Raw genomic sequence first — 17943 nt, forward strand, 5'->3', positions numbered from 1 at the left:
ACTTACTAAATGTTTTGTGATTGCAGTTGGCCTTTCTAGGCTGGGCTCCTCAACTTTAAATAGTTCCTTATTTAAAAAGATTCATCCTGGTACGTTCAAATATGATAATATAATTATTTTTATTTTTTTCTGATAATTCTCTGTTACAGCCATAAAAACGTATCTATCACTTCTGTTTTCCATTAAATGGACCGTAAGTGGCACTATTTTTAAAAATCTCTAAACCCAAATCTTTAAAACATTGCTTTAAGATAGGGTCTAATGTCACTGTGACAGCTTTTATGCAACGGTTAACCATTATCATTTTCTACCTCATTTACTCCTTCAGAACACCCTGACATTAGAAAATAACTTCACCCAGCAAGTTAATTCATTTAAGTACTTGGCAGACCATAGACAAATGACTCTTCTTGGAAGACCCATGAACAGAGAGCAGTGTTCTAAATCAGACTTGCTATGGGGACCACACTGAAGTTCTTTTATGACACAAAATGCTGAAAGTTAATATCTGTCTCAAATTTTCTAGCCAATAATGAGCTCAGCTATGGCCTAGGCTACGTAACATTTTGTGTCTCAACTGGGTACTTGTTAATGGACTTAAGCAGGAAGCAGTACAGCAAAGCCATAAAGCAGGGGCACTGAAATTAGGCAAATGTGGATTTTAGTCTTGATTCTGCCACATAAATGGTGTAATATTTTGAGCAAGGTTCACAGTTTCCCTTAGTCTGTTTCTTCTTCTGTAATGTGTGAATCATCCTTTGACAAGTATGTTAGAAATACAACACATAGGGAAAGCGTTAGTAAAGTGTTCAACGATAAGACAATCACCTTAACTTCTATTGATATTTTCATTACACCTACTGTTATTTGACCTTGGGAAAATGCCTTTATTGATGTAAGATTCAGTGTGTCTCTGTGAAATGGAATTACAACACCATGTACATAAGTTGTAGGTGTGTGTTTCAGTGATGATTAAATGAGCTAATAGCGGTACTTAAGGAGCTCTCTGCTCATCCTTAATGATGGGTATTTATATTTTTAAATACTAAAAAAGACACATGATTGCAAACAAAACAAAACATTGCTTTAAAAGGCTGTGGATAATGATATCTAAAACAATGGTAAGTTACCCTGAGACTATTGGCAGGTACAGGCTTGGAAGTAACACAGATTAAGGTTAAAATCCGAATTTTATCACTTGTTTGCTCCCTGTCCATGAGCAAAACACTAACTTCTTCATGTCTTACTTTTCTCATCTTAAACTGAAGAAAATGTTACTTATCCATAGAAGGTCTTAGAGAATGATTGACAGTATAGATAGGTATATTACAAAAGTTTCAGACACATAATTATAATAAGAACCAGGATAATAACAGCGGACATTTGTGGTACACATATTATTTCCCAGATGCTGTGCTAATCAATTAACATAAATCAATTTATTCTTCACCACAACATGACTATCCACTGTATTTTATATATGAGAAAACTAAGACATAACAAGGTTTATTAATTTGTCCAAAGCCGCAGAGCAAGTGGTATGGCACAAAAAATTGAGTAGGCACTCAAAAACTAATTATTATTATTGTACTCCCGATAAGAATGTTAACACCTCTCAAGGGCTGGGAGAGCGCTAGATCTTGTGGTATATTGGAAAGATTACTGCAAGGACTCATGCTTCATTATCATCTTTTTCCTCCACTAGTGACTATGAAATTAAGTAATTCAAACTTAAAGCTGTTGGAACGAAATTATTCTGAGCCTTGAGAGCAATGTGGCTATGTGGCCTGAGTCAAGTAGCATGCCGCTACAACTTATGCCATTTTTTTCCTGTGAATTATTAGGAAGACCAAACAGCTCCACAGATAAGACCCCCTAAGATCACTACCCCTCCTTACAGAGCAATAAGGTAATTTCCTTGGAATCATTCAATCTGAAACTGATCAAACTGCTGTAACATATGCACTGGTCTCATATGGAAAGTGTTGTAATCCTGCCAAAATGTCTCTGTGTCTTTCTAGATAAATAAAATCTTGGCTTGTACACATTGGAACACTGATCCAACTTGTTAGGAGTAGGTGTTTCCAGGTAACTGTCCCCAAGCATTGTACTCAAGTAAACTTTATACTTAATCATGTTTTCTGAGTCTCATTATTTAAGGTTGACATTACCTACCTAATCACTGCTTAAATCTTTACTGATAAGACACCCTTGATGAATAAAAATAACAGTGATTGCTTATTGACACCTCACGAGCTGGACACTTTATATTTATACATTATCTCTATTCTTTATAATGTTCTTGGTAGTTACTATAATTTTCTTCATTTTTCAGATACTAATAATGAGACTCAATGAGGCTAGATTACTTTTCCAGATTTATATCAAGGGATTTGAGAAAGTATGAATAAATAAATCCAGGTCTTTCTGACAGTAAAGCTTGCATTTGTTTCACCACAATATATTTCTTATTAGAAGTATCTCATATGCAACCATGAACTCCAGAACTTTTAAGAGCCAACAATTCAACAAGCAAATGATACTATAAATATGTAAAAGATGAACAAGATTTGGCTTCTGTCTGCTAGATATTAGTGATTCTTTAAAGAGCAATCCTAAATATGCAACTCTTTAGTATCACTGCCTTAGTTTTTTTTGTACTGCTATAACAGAACACCTGTAAATGGATAATTTATAAAGGAAAAATTTATTTCTCACAGTTCTGGAGGCTGGGAGTCCAAGATTAAGTCACCATCATCTGGTGAGGCCCTTCTTGCTGCATTCTCTCATGGCAGAAGGCAGAAGGGGAAGAGAGAACAAACTCCCTCTATCAATGCCCTTTATAAGGGCACCAAATCCTATTTGCAAATTTTGGACAGGACACATTCAAACCATAGCAATCACATGATATTGCTATAACTATCATAAACAAATCAATAGTATTTATTACTATATGATTAAGCAACCATTTATTATAATATGTTGTTGGAGCTATGTTACATAAAAAATACAAAATAAGCTTTTCCCTGTATATTGTAGTTGGAAAGATGGTTCATTTACAAAATTATAGAAAACCAAATAACAGTATCATTGATAGATACAAGAACGCTGAAAAAATAAGACAAGAAATAAATTATCTGACAAGGACATTAGGGCAAAGCAGAACATTATTTCCCAAAAACGAGCAGAGAAAAGTGTTTTTGGAAAGAGGGAGTAGCTGATTCTATCATGCCCTGACAGAGGTTATATGATTTGATTTTAAATGGCTTCAAGGGATTTAACAAGTGATCATTGGTGATCTTGATTGGAGGGTTTCAATGGAGAAGTAAACTTAGAAATCAAACTAGAATTCATTTGCAGTGAATGGAAGGTGAGAAAGTAAAACACCCAAGGTAGACTAATTTTTCAAAAATATTTTATAATTTTTCTGTGAAGAAGAGTGAAGAAATGCAGCAGAAGCTGGAGGAGGATTTGGGGTCTGTCTCACCTTGGTTTACTCAAAGAGTGGGAAGAGTGACTCCAAAATATATAATTTTAACCAAACTCCTCTGGTGATAAACATGAACACATGCGGCACTTTGGGAGGCCAAGGCGGGTGGATCACAAGGTCAGGAGATCAAGACCATCTTTGCCAACATTGTTAAACCTAGTCTCTACTAAAATACAAAAAATTAGCTGGGCATGGTGGCATGTGCCTGTAGTCCCAGCTACTCGGGAGGTTGAGATGGGGGGAATCACTTGAACCCAGGAGGCAGAGGTTGCAGTGAGCCCAGATCATGCCACTGCACTCCAGCCTGGCGACAGAGCAAGACTTGGTCTAAATAAATAAATAAGAATGACATACTGCATCGACATACTGCAGTGACATGCTACAGACACCTCTGTTGTACAGTGTTAAATGCACACACTGAACTGCATATTTTTATATCAAAATTATGGAAAAGAGTCATCATTATTTTACCCACAGTGTAAAATATTTGAATGCCCTCTCCCTGGGAAGGAAGTTTCCAGAGGAATATCCTTATTTTGTTTATCCTAGATAAGAAAAATCTTCCTTATAAATACAATCTGCTTTCTATGCTCGACTTTGGCCAGTGGCACATGCTATTCACACACTCCTCTCTCCCTGGACAGCCTCTACACCTCCTTGCCTTGGCATTTCTGAGAAGTCCCCCACTTCTTATGCCACCGCCCCCCAACCTCAAACCTAACCTCTCTTTTGCAGGCGCTTCAGCTTTGTAATCCTCTTGTTATGAGCGTTCTTCCTAACACTTCACCACAATCTTATTTTTTATTACTCTAATACAATTCTTTTGCTTCATGTACAGTGGTTAGAATAGGCTTTGTAACCTCAATGTTATAGATCAAAATTATATCCGTTGTGCACACGTCTGTTACCTTGATTGCATAAGCTTCAGTTTCCTCCCCTGTGAAATGGGAGCAACAACGTCTACCTCATAGTGTTAAGAGTTAATGCACTGATGTTCTCACTTATATGTGGGAACTAGAAAAGTGGATATCATGGAGGTAGAGAGTAGGATGATAGATATCAGAGGCTGGGAACGGTGTGTGGGTGGGAGGAGGAGAGTATGAAGAGAAGTTGGTTAATGGGTACAAACATATTGGTAGATGAAAGGTGTAAGTTTTAATGTTAAATAGCAGAGTAGGGTGACTATAGTTAGCAACAACGTATTGTATCATTCATAGCAGCTAGAAGAGATAACTTGAAATGTTCCCAACACATAGAAATGATAAATCCTCAAGGTAGTAGATACCCCACACACCCTGTCTTGACCATTACATATCCCATACATGTAACAGAATATCACATGTACCCCATACCTGTGTAAAATACATGTATCAACTTTTTTTAAAAAGTTAAGCATTGAAATATTTGTAATACTATCCTGGAAGAGATAAGTAGTATGCAATAGGCATTCTTATTTCTCTTTAATGGAAAATATCACAATGAGGAGAACTACTTAACATGTTACAGTCTTAAGTTACTATGTCTCTTTCTTAATGCAGATTCTGAAAATCTACACTAATGAAATTGTTTCAAAGGGTTTGCTTTCCTGAAAGTGTATAACTGCTTCTAAGCTCAGTGCCAGTAAATTAATTAAAGCATCACTAATCTTTCACAGTGAAAGAGACAAAAAATTCTTTTTCATCTTGGACTAATTACATGGAATAATTTTGAAAATCTGCCTATTCCCTAAGAGTTTTCTGTTTCCTGAACTTCAGCAAAAGTGTAGCAGCTGAATTTAATGATTGTTTATACTACTTGATCCTTCCTCTCAAATTAAAATAACCGTAGAAGCGTAAATTGTGAAGAATGTCATATGAATATAAAAATAAAATACTGTATGTAATAAGAAATACCACTACACATAAACGTCACATTAAGATATCCAATACCATTGCTAAAAAGGCTTATAACAATAAACCTTTATTGTTTCTTGGATAAACAATAAAGGCAGGAGAACTTAATATTATTAAGTACACACATGTAAACTTTTCAGTAATTATTAGTGAAATAAGATATATGAAGTTTCACAAATTTTTCATGTCTTGTTTTGTAACAATATGCATCTAATTATTTAAAAAACTAAAAGATAAACAGATTTAAGTTAGGTCCATGCGTCTGTGGGCCCTAAAGAAATGCATATTTTTGAGTCTATTTTAAGAATATTTGTACCATCATACCCTATTCAATTAATACCAAGTAAAATATTTCTACTTGAACCTGTAACACTAGGAATTTGCATAAATCACCTGAGTTGAACACCATCACGATTGGTTATTTATGCATTTGCAAACCATGAAACTGAAATAATTACATTTGAAAATGAGTGAAAGCTTTGAAAGCCACATAACATTGGCAGCAATCTACTGCCTTGAAGCATCTATTTCTCACCCTGGTGGTCATTTTTTTTTTTAACTGAAAACCAAGAAAATGGTATATGCATGAGAAGCATTTCCCTGTAATTAGCAATACTTACACATCACTACCATATAATTAGAAGTACTAGATAAAATGTGTGCTTCTAGAAGGAGCAAGCACATAATTATTAGAGATAGTTCCATTCCCAGTTCTCTCAACTATATCACGATTTACTCTATAAGACATAGTGCATGAATAATTCTGACTTTTTGGAGGGCAAAATGCCAAGCTACAAATAGTACAACAGGGCATTATTATGTTAGCAGAGAGAACCATTAGATTTGTTTTTTATTTTTCTGCCTCTAAACTCAAAAAGCTCATGTTTTTTACTCTTAAAAAGTTACATAATGATCTTTGCCTTGCATTATTAATACTAGGCATGTGTCATGATTCCTCCACAAGATGACAAACTCACTGAAATCAGGGGCTGTCTTACACCCTCTGTTTATACTTCGTCTTGACTAGAGAATTGCCTTCAATTTTGTAAAGGTCAACAATTTGCAAGGGATTGAACGAGTGGTTGAGGGCACATGTTGAAACACCTGTGACTCCCACAAGTTGCTGCAAATGTAGTTTCAGGTGGAAAGCGTCCCTCCCTCCATTAAATTATTCAACTCCTAAAGGAGTTTTTCCCTTTCACTTTTTATTTCCTATAATACTTCTTCATTGCTCCTTTGATATTCATTTAATTTGGCACCAGTAACCGTTCATGGAGATGTGGAATACAGTTCTCCCCTTCACAGCATTAATTTTTAAGTGTGTTTGGGTTGGGAGTGTGACTGTTGCTTCAGCTCTGTCTTGCAGTCTGCACATAGGTCGCATAGCCTAAGTGTCATAACTGAATGTATCACATTTGAACAGCCGGCCATTAGGCAGTGCATTACACAAAGCCGTTCCAGTAAAAGCTCTGAGAATGGCTCGATCTTGGAGAGGCCAGACCTATGCAAACAGAGCCCTTGAGATCCATTTTCTTGAACTTCCTTTGTTTGTATTCTCTGATGTTTGCAGATGCTATGTGTGTCTTTTGATTGATTCTATTTGGTTGCTTCAATGAGTACACCCAGTGGGCTTTGTTCCCTGTGAGTTAAAATAGCAAATGACCATGATGAAATATTTCCACCTGCACATAAAGATCTTATCATATGTTACAGCCAGCTTCATCACGTTTAAAACTGGTGGATTTTCTGAGAGTCGTTAACTATTAACAAAACGTTCTTTAAAATCCTCTACAAAGTTCACAGATATAAAATATCTCTCATCAAATAGCTATAAATATCATTTGCCCCATCAGAAAAAGCAATCTTCCATCTCTTGCGTTCAATCATCTAGATGCATCAAATATAAATGTTTTCAATTAACGAGTTTCTGAATAATTGCCTCATGTCTACATGTATTTTTTATGTTGTTGAATGGTCCATGTGGTATATGACACATTTCTAAAAACTGACCTGGCTATTGCTAACTTTTAAATTTTAAATGTAGACTTAAACAATTTGAACAACAATGGGTATGTGTATCTGCTTATTCCAAGAGGAGATTTCTCTGTGATTCAAATTATGCTGGGTAAGAACAGAGTTCAGAGTTTCATTTCATTGATTTTATTTGCTATGACCATTCTCCTCCACCCTTTTTGCCCAGTTCTATCAAGTTCTTCATTGCACTGCTTCTTGATCTAAAACCACTTAAGAATTTTAGCTTTTTTTCTCCCATTGAGACATTTTCTAAAGTCTGATGATTAAACTTTCCTCCATTTGGTTCCCAATAACTTCCCTAAATATCATTATAACTTTTTTTCCTGTAGAAGTTTATTTCATAAGTTCTCTTTTTAGTGGTAGTTGAATGAACAGGCACAATGACATCCGAAATGTCCTAATTTACAAGATGTGTTGTGATATTGGCTGGAAAAAAAATGCCAAGCATGCAGCACCTACACAGATACTACACCAAAGAGAAAACTGAGTAAGTTCATACGTTTGTGCAAAACAAAATTATACGGATAAAATATAAATGACCAAAGCAACTGATTTGCCATTTTGTACTTGCTAAATTAGCAAAAATATAAAATATATATAGGTTTCAAACCCAAGACTCCCACGTACTGTTGGTTGAAATTAAAATGAGGAGAGAGACTTTTTAGAAATGAATTTGATTAAACTTTCAAAAAGTCTCAGAATTGTTCAAATCTTTTGACCCACTTACTTCATTTCTGGGAATTATATAAATAATCTCAAGTATTACAATACTGATAGGCATGACAACCTTCATTGCAAAGTGATTGATAGAAGCTGTATTAGAAACAAAACTTAATACAAGTATCCAAAATGTCCATAATGAGAAGATACTTGTTACACATTGGGAAGCAGTACAGTGTTGCCCTTCTGAGCCAGGGCCTGTGATAAGTCTGTGTTTAAATGCCAGCTTTAACCCTTGCCAGCTGAGCTCCCCAGTGTTTGTTACTTAGCATCCCCTGTTCAGAGGCAGCCACTGCATCTACCTAAGTCTGTGCTGCAACAAGACCTCCAAAGTCCAAAGTACTGCAGAAAGCTTTTAATTTGCGTCATTTATTCCCAGGTCATTCGTAGTGGCCCTCTATCATGCTTACCTAGACTCTCAAAAACCCAAGTCACAAATCACTGTATATGTCATCTGTTGGAAAATTCTGAATCCCCCATCTCCCTCCTCCAGGCAAAAGTTATTTTGGCTTCACATCTCGTCTGTATAACAAAAGCTTGTCATAAAACGTATGTTCTACTGCCTATTCTAGGTGACCCACAGACAGTTATTTAAAATTTAATTATTCATCCTTTCCCTTCTTATGTCTTCAGGGGAATGATAAAAATATTCAGGCAAAGATCTGTGGATAGGTGAGGTGTCACCTTTAACCAGGGTAGCAGAATTAAATACAAGCTCTCACATCAAATCTCTCAGGATCAATATAATTACTTGATCTAATTGTTTTAAGATGAAGACTATTATATTGTTTGTTTTTCTCTGAATGTTTTTGTCTTTCCCAAAATACCGATTATGACTTTCATTAATTTTTCTTCATCATGGATCTGATATTATTTGAAAACAAATGTGTCCAAAATCCTTTAAAATACAGTTGAAGTGACATTGGTTGCAAATGCATGCTAGTCCACAAACTCAGTTACTGCAAACAAAATGCACATTAATTTTTTTTTTTAGATTAACTAGGCACCCCAGCACAAACCCTTGTAACCATGCCCTTCACCTTCATATCAAAGGCCTATCTCACTCTGACATGTTCTGGCCAGTGGATGCAGGGAGATGGGAAGAGCACTGTATCAAATGGGGCTGGCCTGCACTTGTTCCTTTTCCTTCCCATGAGAGAAGGCCAGGACAAAGCCCCTGAAGGATAAAACATATGGAGCAGTGTTAAGTTGCCTCAGTTGTCACAATCCATCCCAGACACAAAGCCAGCTGAGTGACCTCACCAAAACCAGAGATCTACTTAACCAAGCCCAGCCTAAATCACTGATGTGTAGACCCGTGAACCAAATAAATGAGGATTATTAAAGTCAATGTGTTCTGTGATAGCTTCTATACAGCATTATAATGACACTAGATAACTAATACAAAAATACACAAAGCATATTTTATGCATGTTTAAAGTAAAATAAATTTTTTAAAAAAACTGCAGTGACTGTGGAAATCAAAACAAAAACATACCTTATTCTGTTTGGAAATTAACCAAACTTTTTCATCATTATAGAAAGTCACATCAACAATGGCAATGTTATCCATTATTTTAAAGTGACAGATGCAATCTGTCTGCATCATTCTATATTCAGGATGCCATATACATCATTTTACAGGTAAGCGTGCATGTGCAATAATATATATGCAGTCAATCTTCATTCTTTGCAGATTGCATATCTGTGAGTTTTTCTTACTAAAGTTTATTTTTATCCCCCAAATGAATACTCACAGTGCTTTCATAGTCATTCACAGATATGCTTAGAGTGATAGAAAATTTGAATTTTTAAGAAGCATGTTTGAATGAGGCTGAGTTGAACAAGGCAATGTCTTCTCTCCTTGTTACAGCTTTCATGCTGTAAACACTTGTTCTCCTCATGGTCTAGTGAGTGGCACTTTTTTTCAGCTTTGTGTTTTTGTGAGTAATTTTACTGTTTAAAGTGGCCCCCAAATGTAACACTAAAGTGTTGTATAGTATTCTCAATCACAAGAAGGCTGTGATGTGCCTTATGGGGAAAAATTCATATGTTAGAGAAGCTTTGTTCACGTGTGAGTTATAGATAGTGTTCTTGGCCATCCGATATTGGATTTCAGGGTTAATTATAAACAATCTATTAATAGCATATCCAGAAAAGTAGAAAAGAAATGTATCAATTTGCCTGTGAGGCTGCCCCAGAAAGTGCTAAAGTGATCCCTGGTGTGTGTAATAATGGTATGGAAAAGGTGGACAAAGGACCAAATTTATGGATTCATGAGATGATAACTGACTTTTAAAGATGCATTTGGCAGCATCATTATGAAGCTGGAGGCCAAAGGAGCTTATGGTTACATGACCCAGCGTCAGAAAAATGTGAAACCCTGTTCCCAGCTAGCACTGGCTCACACACTTCATAGGGTGATACAGCATGAACACTTTCAGCTTGCAGGCAGGCAAGGTAGTCTCTCCAGATCAGGAGGCAGTGGAAGCATTTTTCAAATCCCTAATAACTGTTATGTGAAAGAGCAGGTTTTCAACACTGATGAGACTGGCTTGTTTTACAAGGATGTTGGGAAACAAACCTGTATGAAACAAATGCATTTCAGTTAATGAAAATGTTGTGGCCAGAGGCTTGCAGGACCCTAACTCTGTACTTCTCCTAGGAGCAATAATTCAGTATTCACTAATTCAGTATTCTCAGAAACTCTATAGAAAATACCTACCATGAACAAGGAAGACTGCGTGTGTTGGGGGGCGGGGGTGGCAGGTGTGTTTGTGTGTGGGTGTTAAATATTGTTTCACTTCTCATACCCATCTTATTCATTATGAGCAACTGTAAAACTTTATCAACGTCATTACGGCTATTAGGGTTATCATGCCTGAACATTAAACATATGAATATGTATGCATATATAGACACTTTTAACATGAATTACTCTTCTTTTTTATTTTACAGTAAGTATACAATTTTACTAATTTTTAGAAATTACATGTGAAGTAGCTATATTAAATGTAAGTTTTATTGCAGAATTGTAAAGGGAACCCTATACAAAACAATTTAGTTCTCCTAAGATTAAACACCACTAAGGTAGATCACTCATGTAGAAAAGGAAGGCTAGATTCTGTTTAAATTTTTAAAAGAATATAAAATTGATTTTACTGAGAGAATTAGAGAAGTAGAGAAAAATTTAAAAATCATGGGTCAACTGTTGATCATTTGGAAATTGCAAGTTTAGATATCAAATGCATATCTTACATCAAAATGAAGTCCTCATGAAATAGATACACATGTGAAATCTGAAATAATAAAATAAGAAGGGATTTTAAATATGTGTTTTGGAAAGACAAAATTACCTGAGAAACTGTAAAGACAAACAATAATTATACAAAAATTGTAACACTTTGTGTAAAAAATTACATAAAACTGAAAGATAAAATGGGAAGTGATAGGATTTTTGCTGATTAAATTGATAAAGACTAGGTTGAGTGTTGAGGACAAGTATCAGTAACTCTGTAAGAGATGTGTGGTCATATGATGGTACATTTTTATAACTTTTCCGAAAAAGCAGTTGGTCATGTATCATACCTCAAAATCCCTAAAATTCTTGACCTAGTGATTTTACATTTAGGCATGTATCAAAAGTATACAAACATATATACATAAGTACATAAATGTATGCATATATATACACATACACACATATATATGATATTCTTTACAACCTTTTTTATAATAGCGTAGTATTAGAGGTAACCTACATCTTAGTAATTAAGGATTCATTGAATAAAACTGTTGAAAATATTGTATTTTAATAAGTTGGGAAAACTGTTTATAGGCTGAAAGAAAATACTGAATAAGAAGGAGATTGATGATACAGGGATGGAAAGAAATAGATGATGAACCACTATTTCAGAGGACATAGGTGAATGATAAATATTTACAATGTACTAGAGGATACAGTAGAGTGAAGGAAGTGGAGGAGAGCATCTCCTTCATTACTAGTTAGACAACCTCTGGATCCGTAGTGTGAGAGAGTAGAATATAAGAGAAATTAAGCCCAACAGGCTCTTCTTTATGAAACATGAGATAAATTAACTGCTGAAGTTGACAGAGTAAGAGTGTGAGGAGGACTCTGGTTATGACATCAGTATAGAGCTCCGTCCCCCACCCCTAACACATATTTTCACTGGCTTTATCCTTTGATATAAAAAACTGATAAGGCACAGCCAGATGGAAGAGGAGTTAGTCATTCAGCTGTGCCAGGGAAGCTCCAGGTGCCTTCTGACTGTCACACTGATTAAACGGAGCAGGTTATACAGAAGAACTCCAGGGATGACACAGGATTCCATAAGGAGGCAGGTGGAGTGTGGTCCTGCTGAGGAAGGTAGTATGAAAAGTCTGCATATTTCTGGTTAAAACTCAACCCAGGATTGTCAAAAGATGATATTGTTCGACCTTCCTCTGTGTCCATGCCCCTCCATCATACTGAAGCTAATTGGGTCTCAGAAAATAAATGATTTTTTTTAAAAAAAGCAATGGCAAAAGACCCTGGACTTGAAGACAGGTAGTCTACAAAGGTGAGATGCAGGCCTAAAAAATAAGAGATGAAAAGCAATTAAGCTAATATCTTCATTATCCTATTTTTTTAAGTGAATAGGCAAACATGAAGTACCAGATTTTGAGAAAAGTACCTAATATGATAGATTAGAGTATACACATCAATTACAGGTCTGGAGAAAGAGAACACAATGTAGGTAGGATGTAAACCAAAACTCAGATGCTTAGCCCCTCAATTGACTGAATGAACCCTGCTCTAGGCCAAACAAACACAAGGAAACTTGGAGGTCATCATGGGAAAGGAGTGGTCAGACAGGCGCACGATCATTGTGTGCTTGGGAGTTCAAGCACACAACTGACCAGCATTAACATTAAAATAGAGATGCTAAGACTGACAGAACAGACTCTTTGTAGCAATAAGGTACCAACTCCAACCTAATGCTGGTATATCACATGACAGATAACAGAACTTAAAAGGAAATCAAAGCATTCTACCCCAAAATGTATTTCTTCAACATATTTTGAGGTGGCCCTGCAAAGCTATCTGGTGTGGAGGGAAATCTACATTCTGTAGAGAATCGCCTTCCTTTACTAGTTCTCTTCAGAGAGTCTGACACCCTTGGTAAGAGACATTCACATCTATTCTCCCTAATGACAAGAACCTTGGCTCCCACAATCCCCCCTAGCTACCTTAACTCAAGCTGATTTCAACTCTTCAGCCAGAGCTTAATGCTTTTAACCAATTGCCAATCAGGAAATCTTTAAATCCACCTATGACCTGAAAGCATCTCCCTCCCCTTTTGAGATGTTCTTCCTTTCCAGGCTAAACCAACACATACCTCACATGTATTGATTTATGTCTCTGCCTATAAATTCTATTCTCTCTCCCTAAAATGTATAAAAATCAAGGTATAACCCAACCACCTTGGGCACATGTTCTCAGGACTTCCTGAGGTTATATCACAGGACGTGATCTTTTACCTGGGCAAAATCAGCCTTTAAATTGATTAAGATCTGTCTCAGATACTTTTGGTTTACAAGGACAAGGTAGGAAAAAAAAAAACTTTTGTTTATTATATATAAAGACTTCATAGTCATAATCAATAGGAAGACTTCAAAGAGTAACTAAATAGTAAGAACTCTTACAAGTAAAACCATGGCCAGCAAAAAATTCAACAGATATTTTGAAAGATAAGGTTGAGAAACTTTCCCTGAAAATAAGAGTAAAAAATTAAGTTATGGAGAAATATGAGAAAAAATATAAAAATGAGGAACATATATATTCAATTCTGAGTCATTCTAGAAAAACAAGGAAAGAAAAGGATTTTTTGGATGTATTAGTAGGATAATAATTTCTAAAATCTAACACATATGTCTTTCAACCAGAAGGAATAACTGTGTACCTAAGAATATAATTAGGAAGTATCAAAATACTCCAGATAATAAGATTTTGAAAACGTTCAGAGAAGTCAGGTAAAGGAAAGAATTAACTTTCTCTGCAGCAATGCTTGAAGCCAGAAAAAATATAGGACAATGATTTTAAAAATCTGAGTAAAAAGATTTTTAATCTTAGAATTGTATACCTAGCCAAATTATCGTGCCAATATGAGAAGCAAAGAAAGACATTTGCAGATATATCAGGATCCACCATATGTGTCTCTTTCTTAGGAAACCACTAGCAATTGTGCCCTTGGAAAATAAAGAGTTTAATTTTTCAAAAAAATTCATGGAAATAGCCAGGTAAGTTATATAGAGATGTCGGGGAATAACAATAAAAGAAAATACGGGGATGATATCTATGCAATGTGCCAAGAGAACCTTAACTGAAATATCAACTAATCATCATCATCATCATTATCATCATCATCATCATCTATCTTGGGTCTAGATAAACATTCAGAATGTGTACTGACAGGCGTTTACAGATGTAATGAAAATTTGTAAAATATATATAAGTAGTTATCTAAGGCTACCTAATAAAAGGATGAAACAGATGCAAATTCCGAGAAGTGTGCAGATTAATCAGACTATCATATAATCACTGTACGGCTAGACATTTACATAATTAGTTTTTATGTTTACATGAAATTTTTTAATGAATCTAATCCAATAAATTTTGGTCTGAATTTCTATTTTAACTAGGATACAGTTCTGAAAATAGATAATCTGGTCAAAGTCCAATGCTTTTTTTTAAGGCATTTGAAATATAAAGGTAATTATTTTTGCAGGCACATACGTACACACATACATATGCACATACACATATATATACATACATATATACACATATTTCAACATACTGTTTTAAGGAGAGTGTGTAACTTATTCCTTCTTCATTAGCACTAAGATTGATATTGATATATGTTGTACATATTTAATACTCAAAATAGATCTAAATTTTGTTCTAAATTTTTCAATTAAAAAGGTTACATAAGAGTAGATGACTCCATGATGTTTTTAAGAAAAGAGAATGTTCTTTCATTTCCTATCAAAGACAATCATCTTTTTGTCTCTTCTTTCTGCTATTTTAAAGCATCAATTTAATTCAGGGAGCTGTTAAGACAGAGAAAATAAGTTTCAAACTATATACTTTTGACAGAGGTTTTATATTTATTCTGCTATTGCTAGGGCTCAGTGATACTCTATTGAATCTTACATTTTTCTTTATATCACTGAGAATGCAATTTATCAGATGGACTGTAAGTGCAATTTCATGAAGAAAAAAACTATGAAATTGACACTTTGGTTCTCAACATATCTGTTACTGGTGTTCTTTTAAGTTATAAATCTGTTTGCTGTACACAAGAACAAGTTGTTTTTGCTGCCACTAGAAGTAAAGAGTCAATAGAGTTATGGTAGAGTGAGCTGAATTCCATACTTCCCGCACATCATGAGCTAAATTGTCAATGAAGTAAATCCTAAGAACTTGTGGTATCAGTCCCTGTGTGAGAAGCAGAAAGAACGGTTTGATTTTTAAGGTCCCAGACTGAGTCTGTAGTGCTGTCAGTTATTGAAATCTCCTTTTTCTTTATAAATGTTAAACGTTACTGTAAGTCATTGAGAAGGAATAAGTACAGACCCCTTCACAATCATATTTCCATGGAAGTACTTTGCCAACTCTAACTGCATTTGGAGAAATACTTTTTTTCTTCACTTATACAATTTCTTTCAATCTCTATCAGGATTGTTCCTTGGTCCCTCAAGCTCTTTATTTTTCAAGGTTATAGGTTTCTCTGTTCTACTTCCATTCATCATGTACTGTTTCAAGTAAAATTTATTAATAATATTTTAGATATTTGTCTTTTTTTACTGTTCATAGGTGCATTGATCATATCAATTAAAAAGTATAGAACTTTTAATTCAACAACTGAGTTACTATAATTTCCTTCCACACGACAGAACTGGCAATGGGTTTATTGAGTCAATTCCAATCTCCTAAAGCAGATTCTTTATTTACATGTAAATACTTAGATTGCTTAAGTTCAGAAGCATTCTGAATACCTGTGCTTTTTGCTATACAAAATTCTCTAGACTATGATTTCTTTAAAATTAAATTATATGTGGGTGATTCTATTCCATAAAAATGGCAACGGCGAGTTTGAGAAAAATCACATTCTCAGTGCTATCTTTTATGCCTTCTCATGCATTAATTTAACTTTTTTAAGGAAAAAATAGTAATTGTTGAGTCATAGTCTGTGCTACATGCTGAAAGTCAAAATGAAGACAATTCTTACTTACGTGATTACCAAGTTGTTGCTATCCCACCAAGTATTATCTTTAAGGCATTATCATTGGGAAATGTAGAAAGTCTCTGTTGTTAAAAAAAAAAAAAAAAAAGGCCTGAAGAAAAAGAACACATAAAATAGTTCTAAAAAATATGAAAAAAATATAATACAAACAATGACTTTTAGCTTATCTTCGCAAGAACATCGTGACAAATAATGAACTTGTGTATGGTCATTTCCAAACCTTGGATTTACTAGATTGTCACTTGACAAAATAATGACGGTCTCTACCCTTATGCTCTTCACTATGGCAGACCCCTGTCATGATCAAGTCCAATATCCATCAGTGCCAAATACTCATGACAAATGATCTTGATCTGTTGATAAGTCCTAGACTTACCATTCTAGTACCATAGTTGATTGCTTGTAATTCCAGGAAGCTACTCACCATTCCTCAGACACACAATGCATTTTTATGCCACGATGCTCTAATTGGCATAAGAATTAGACCTGAGGAATCCCCCAAACACCCATAAAAAGGGGAAATAAAATTGCCCTTGGAGATTAAACTGTAAAATCAACATGTAGGGAAGAAAATTCAATTTAAAGAGATGGAATGCCTCCAGGGCCAGAAGGATTTTATTCTGAAGGATTAACTACATTAACATCTCTAAAGAAAAAGTGTAGGGAATTACAAACAGATGTCAATCAATACATGTAAGGTGTACATTGGTTTGGTCTGGAAAAACAGGACATCTCAAAGTGGGTGAGGGATTTCTAGGTCATATGTGGATTCAAAGATTTTCTGACAGGCAACTGGTTGAAATCATTAGGTTTTTCTTAAATAGTTGAAGTCAGCAGAAAGAAATTTGAGGAATTCAGGGGAATTGTGGAAGCTAAGGTTATGCAGATGAAGACTCCAGGTAGCAGGCTTCAGAGACAGTAGATGACAAGTGTCTTCATATCAGACCTTAAAAGGGGCTAGACTCTCCTGAAAAGACCTTGTAAGGGAAGGAGATTCTCTATAGAATGTAAATTTCCCCCATAAGAGGCAGCTTTGCAGGGCCATTCTAAAGTATGTCAAAGAAATATATTTTGCGGTAAAATATTTGAATCTCTTTCAGGACCTGTTACCCGCCATGTGATGCTATACTAGAATCAGTTGGAATTTGGTATCTTACTGCTACCAAGAGTCTGCTTTGTCAGTCCTAAGACCTCTGTTTTAATGTTAATACTGGTCAGTTGTGCCTGAATTCCAAAGGGAGGAGAGTATAATGAGCCATGGCTGACCCTCCTTTCCCATCATGACCTCTACTAGTTTTTCAGGTTAACTTTGGAATGCCCTTAGGGATTCATTCAGTCACCTGGGGAGCTTAGAATTTTATTTTTGTTTTACACCATGTATCCTCACATACATACATATGCCTAGGGTGGCGAGATATCTCTTCTAAAATTAGACCATCAGTCATTCTGAGATGCATGAACTAGAAGATGAAAGTTAGGCTTAAATTTTAAGATGAAT

This window comes from Homo sapiens, chromosome 13, assembly GCF_000001405.40.
Source record: "Homo sapiens chromosome 13, GRCh38.p14 Primary Assembly".
Taxonomy (NCBI): Eukaryota; Metazoa; Chordata; class Mammalia; order Primates; family Hominidae; genus Homo; species Homo sapiens.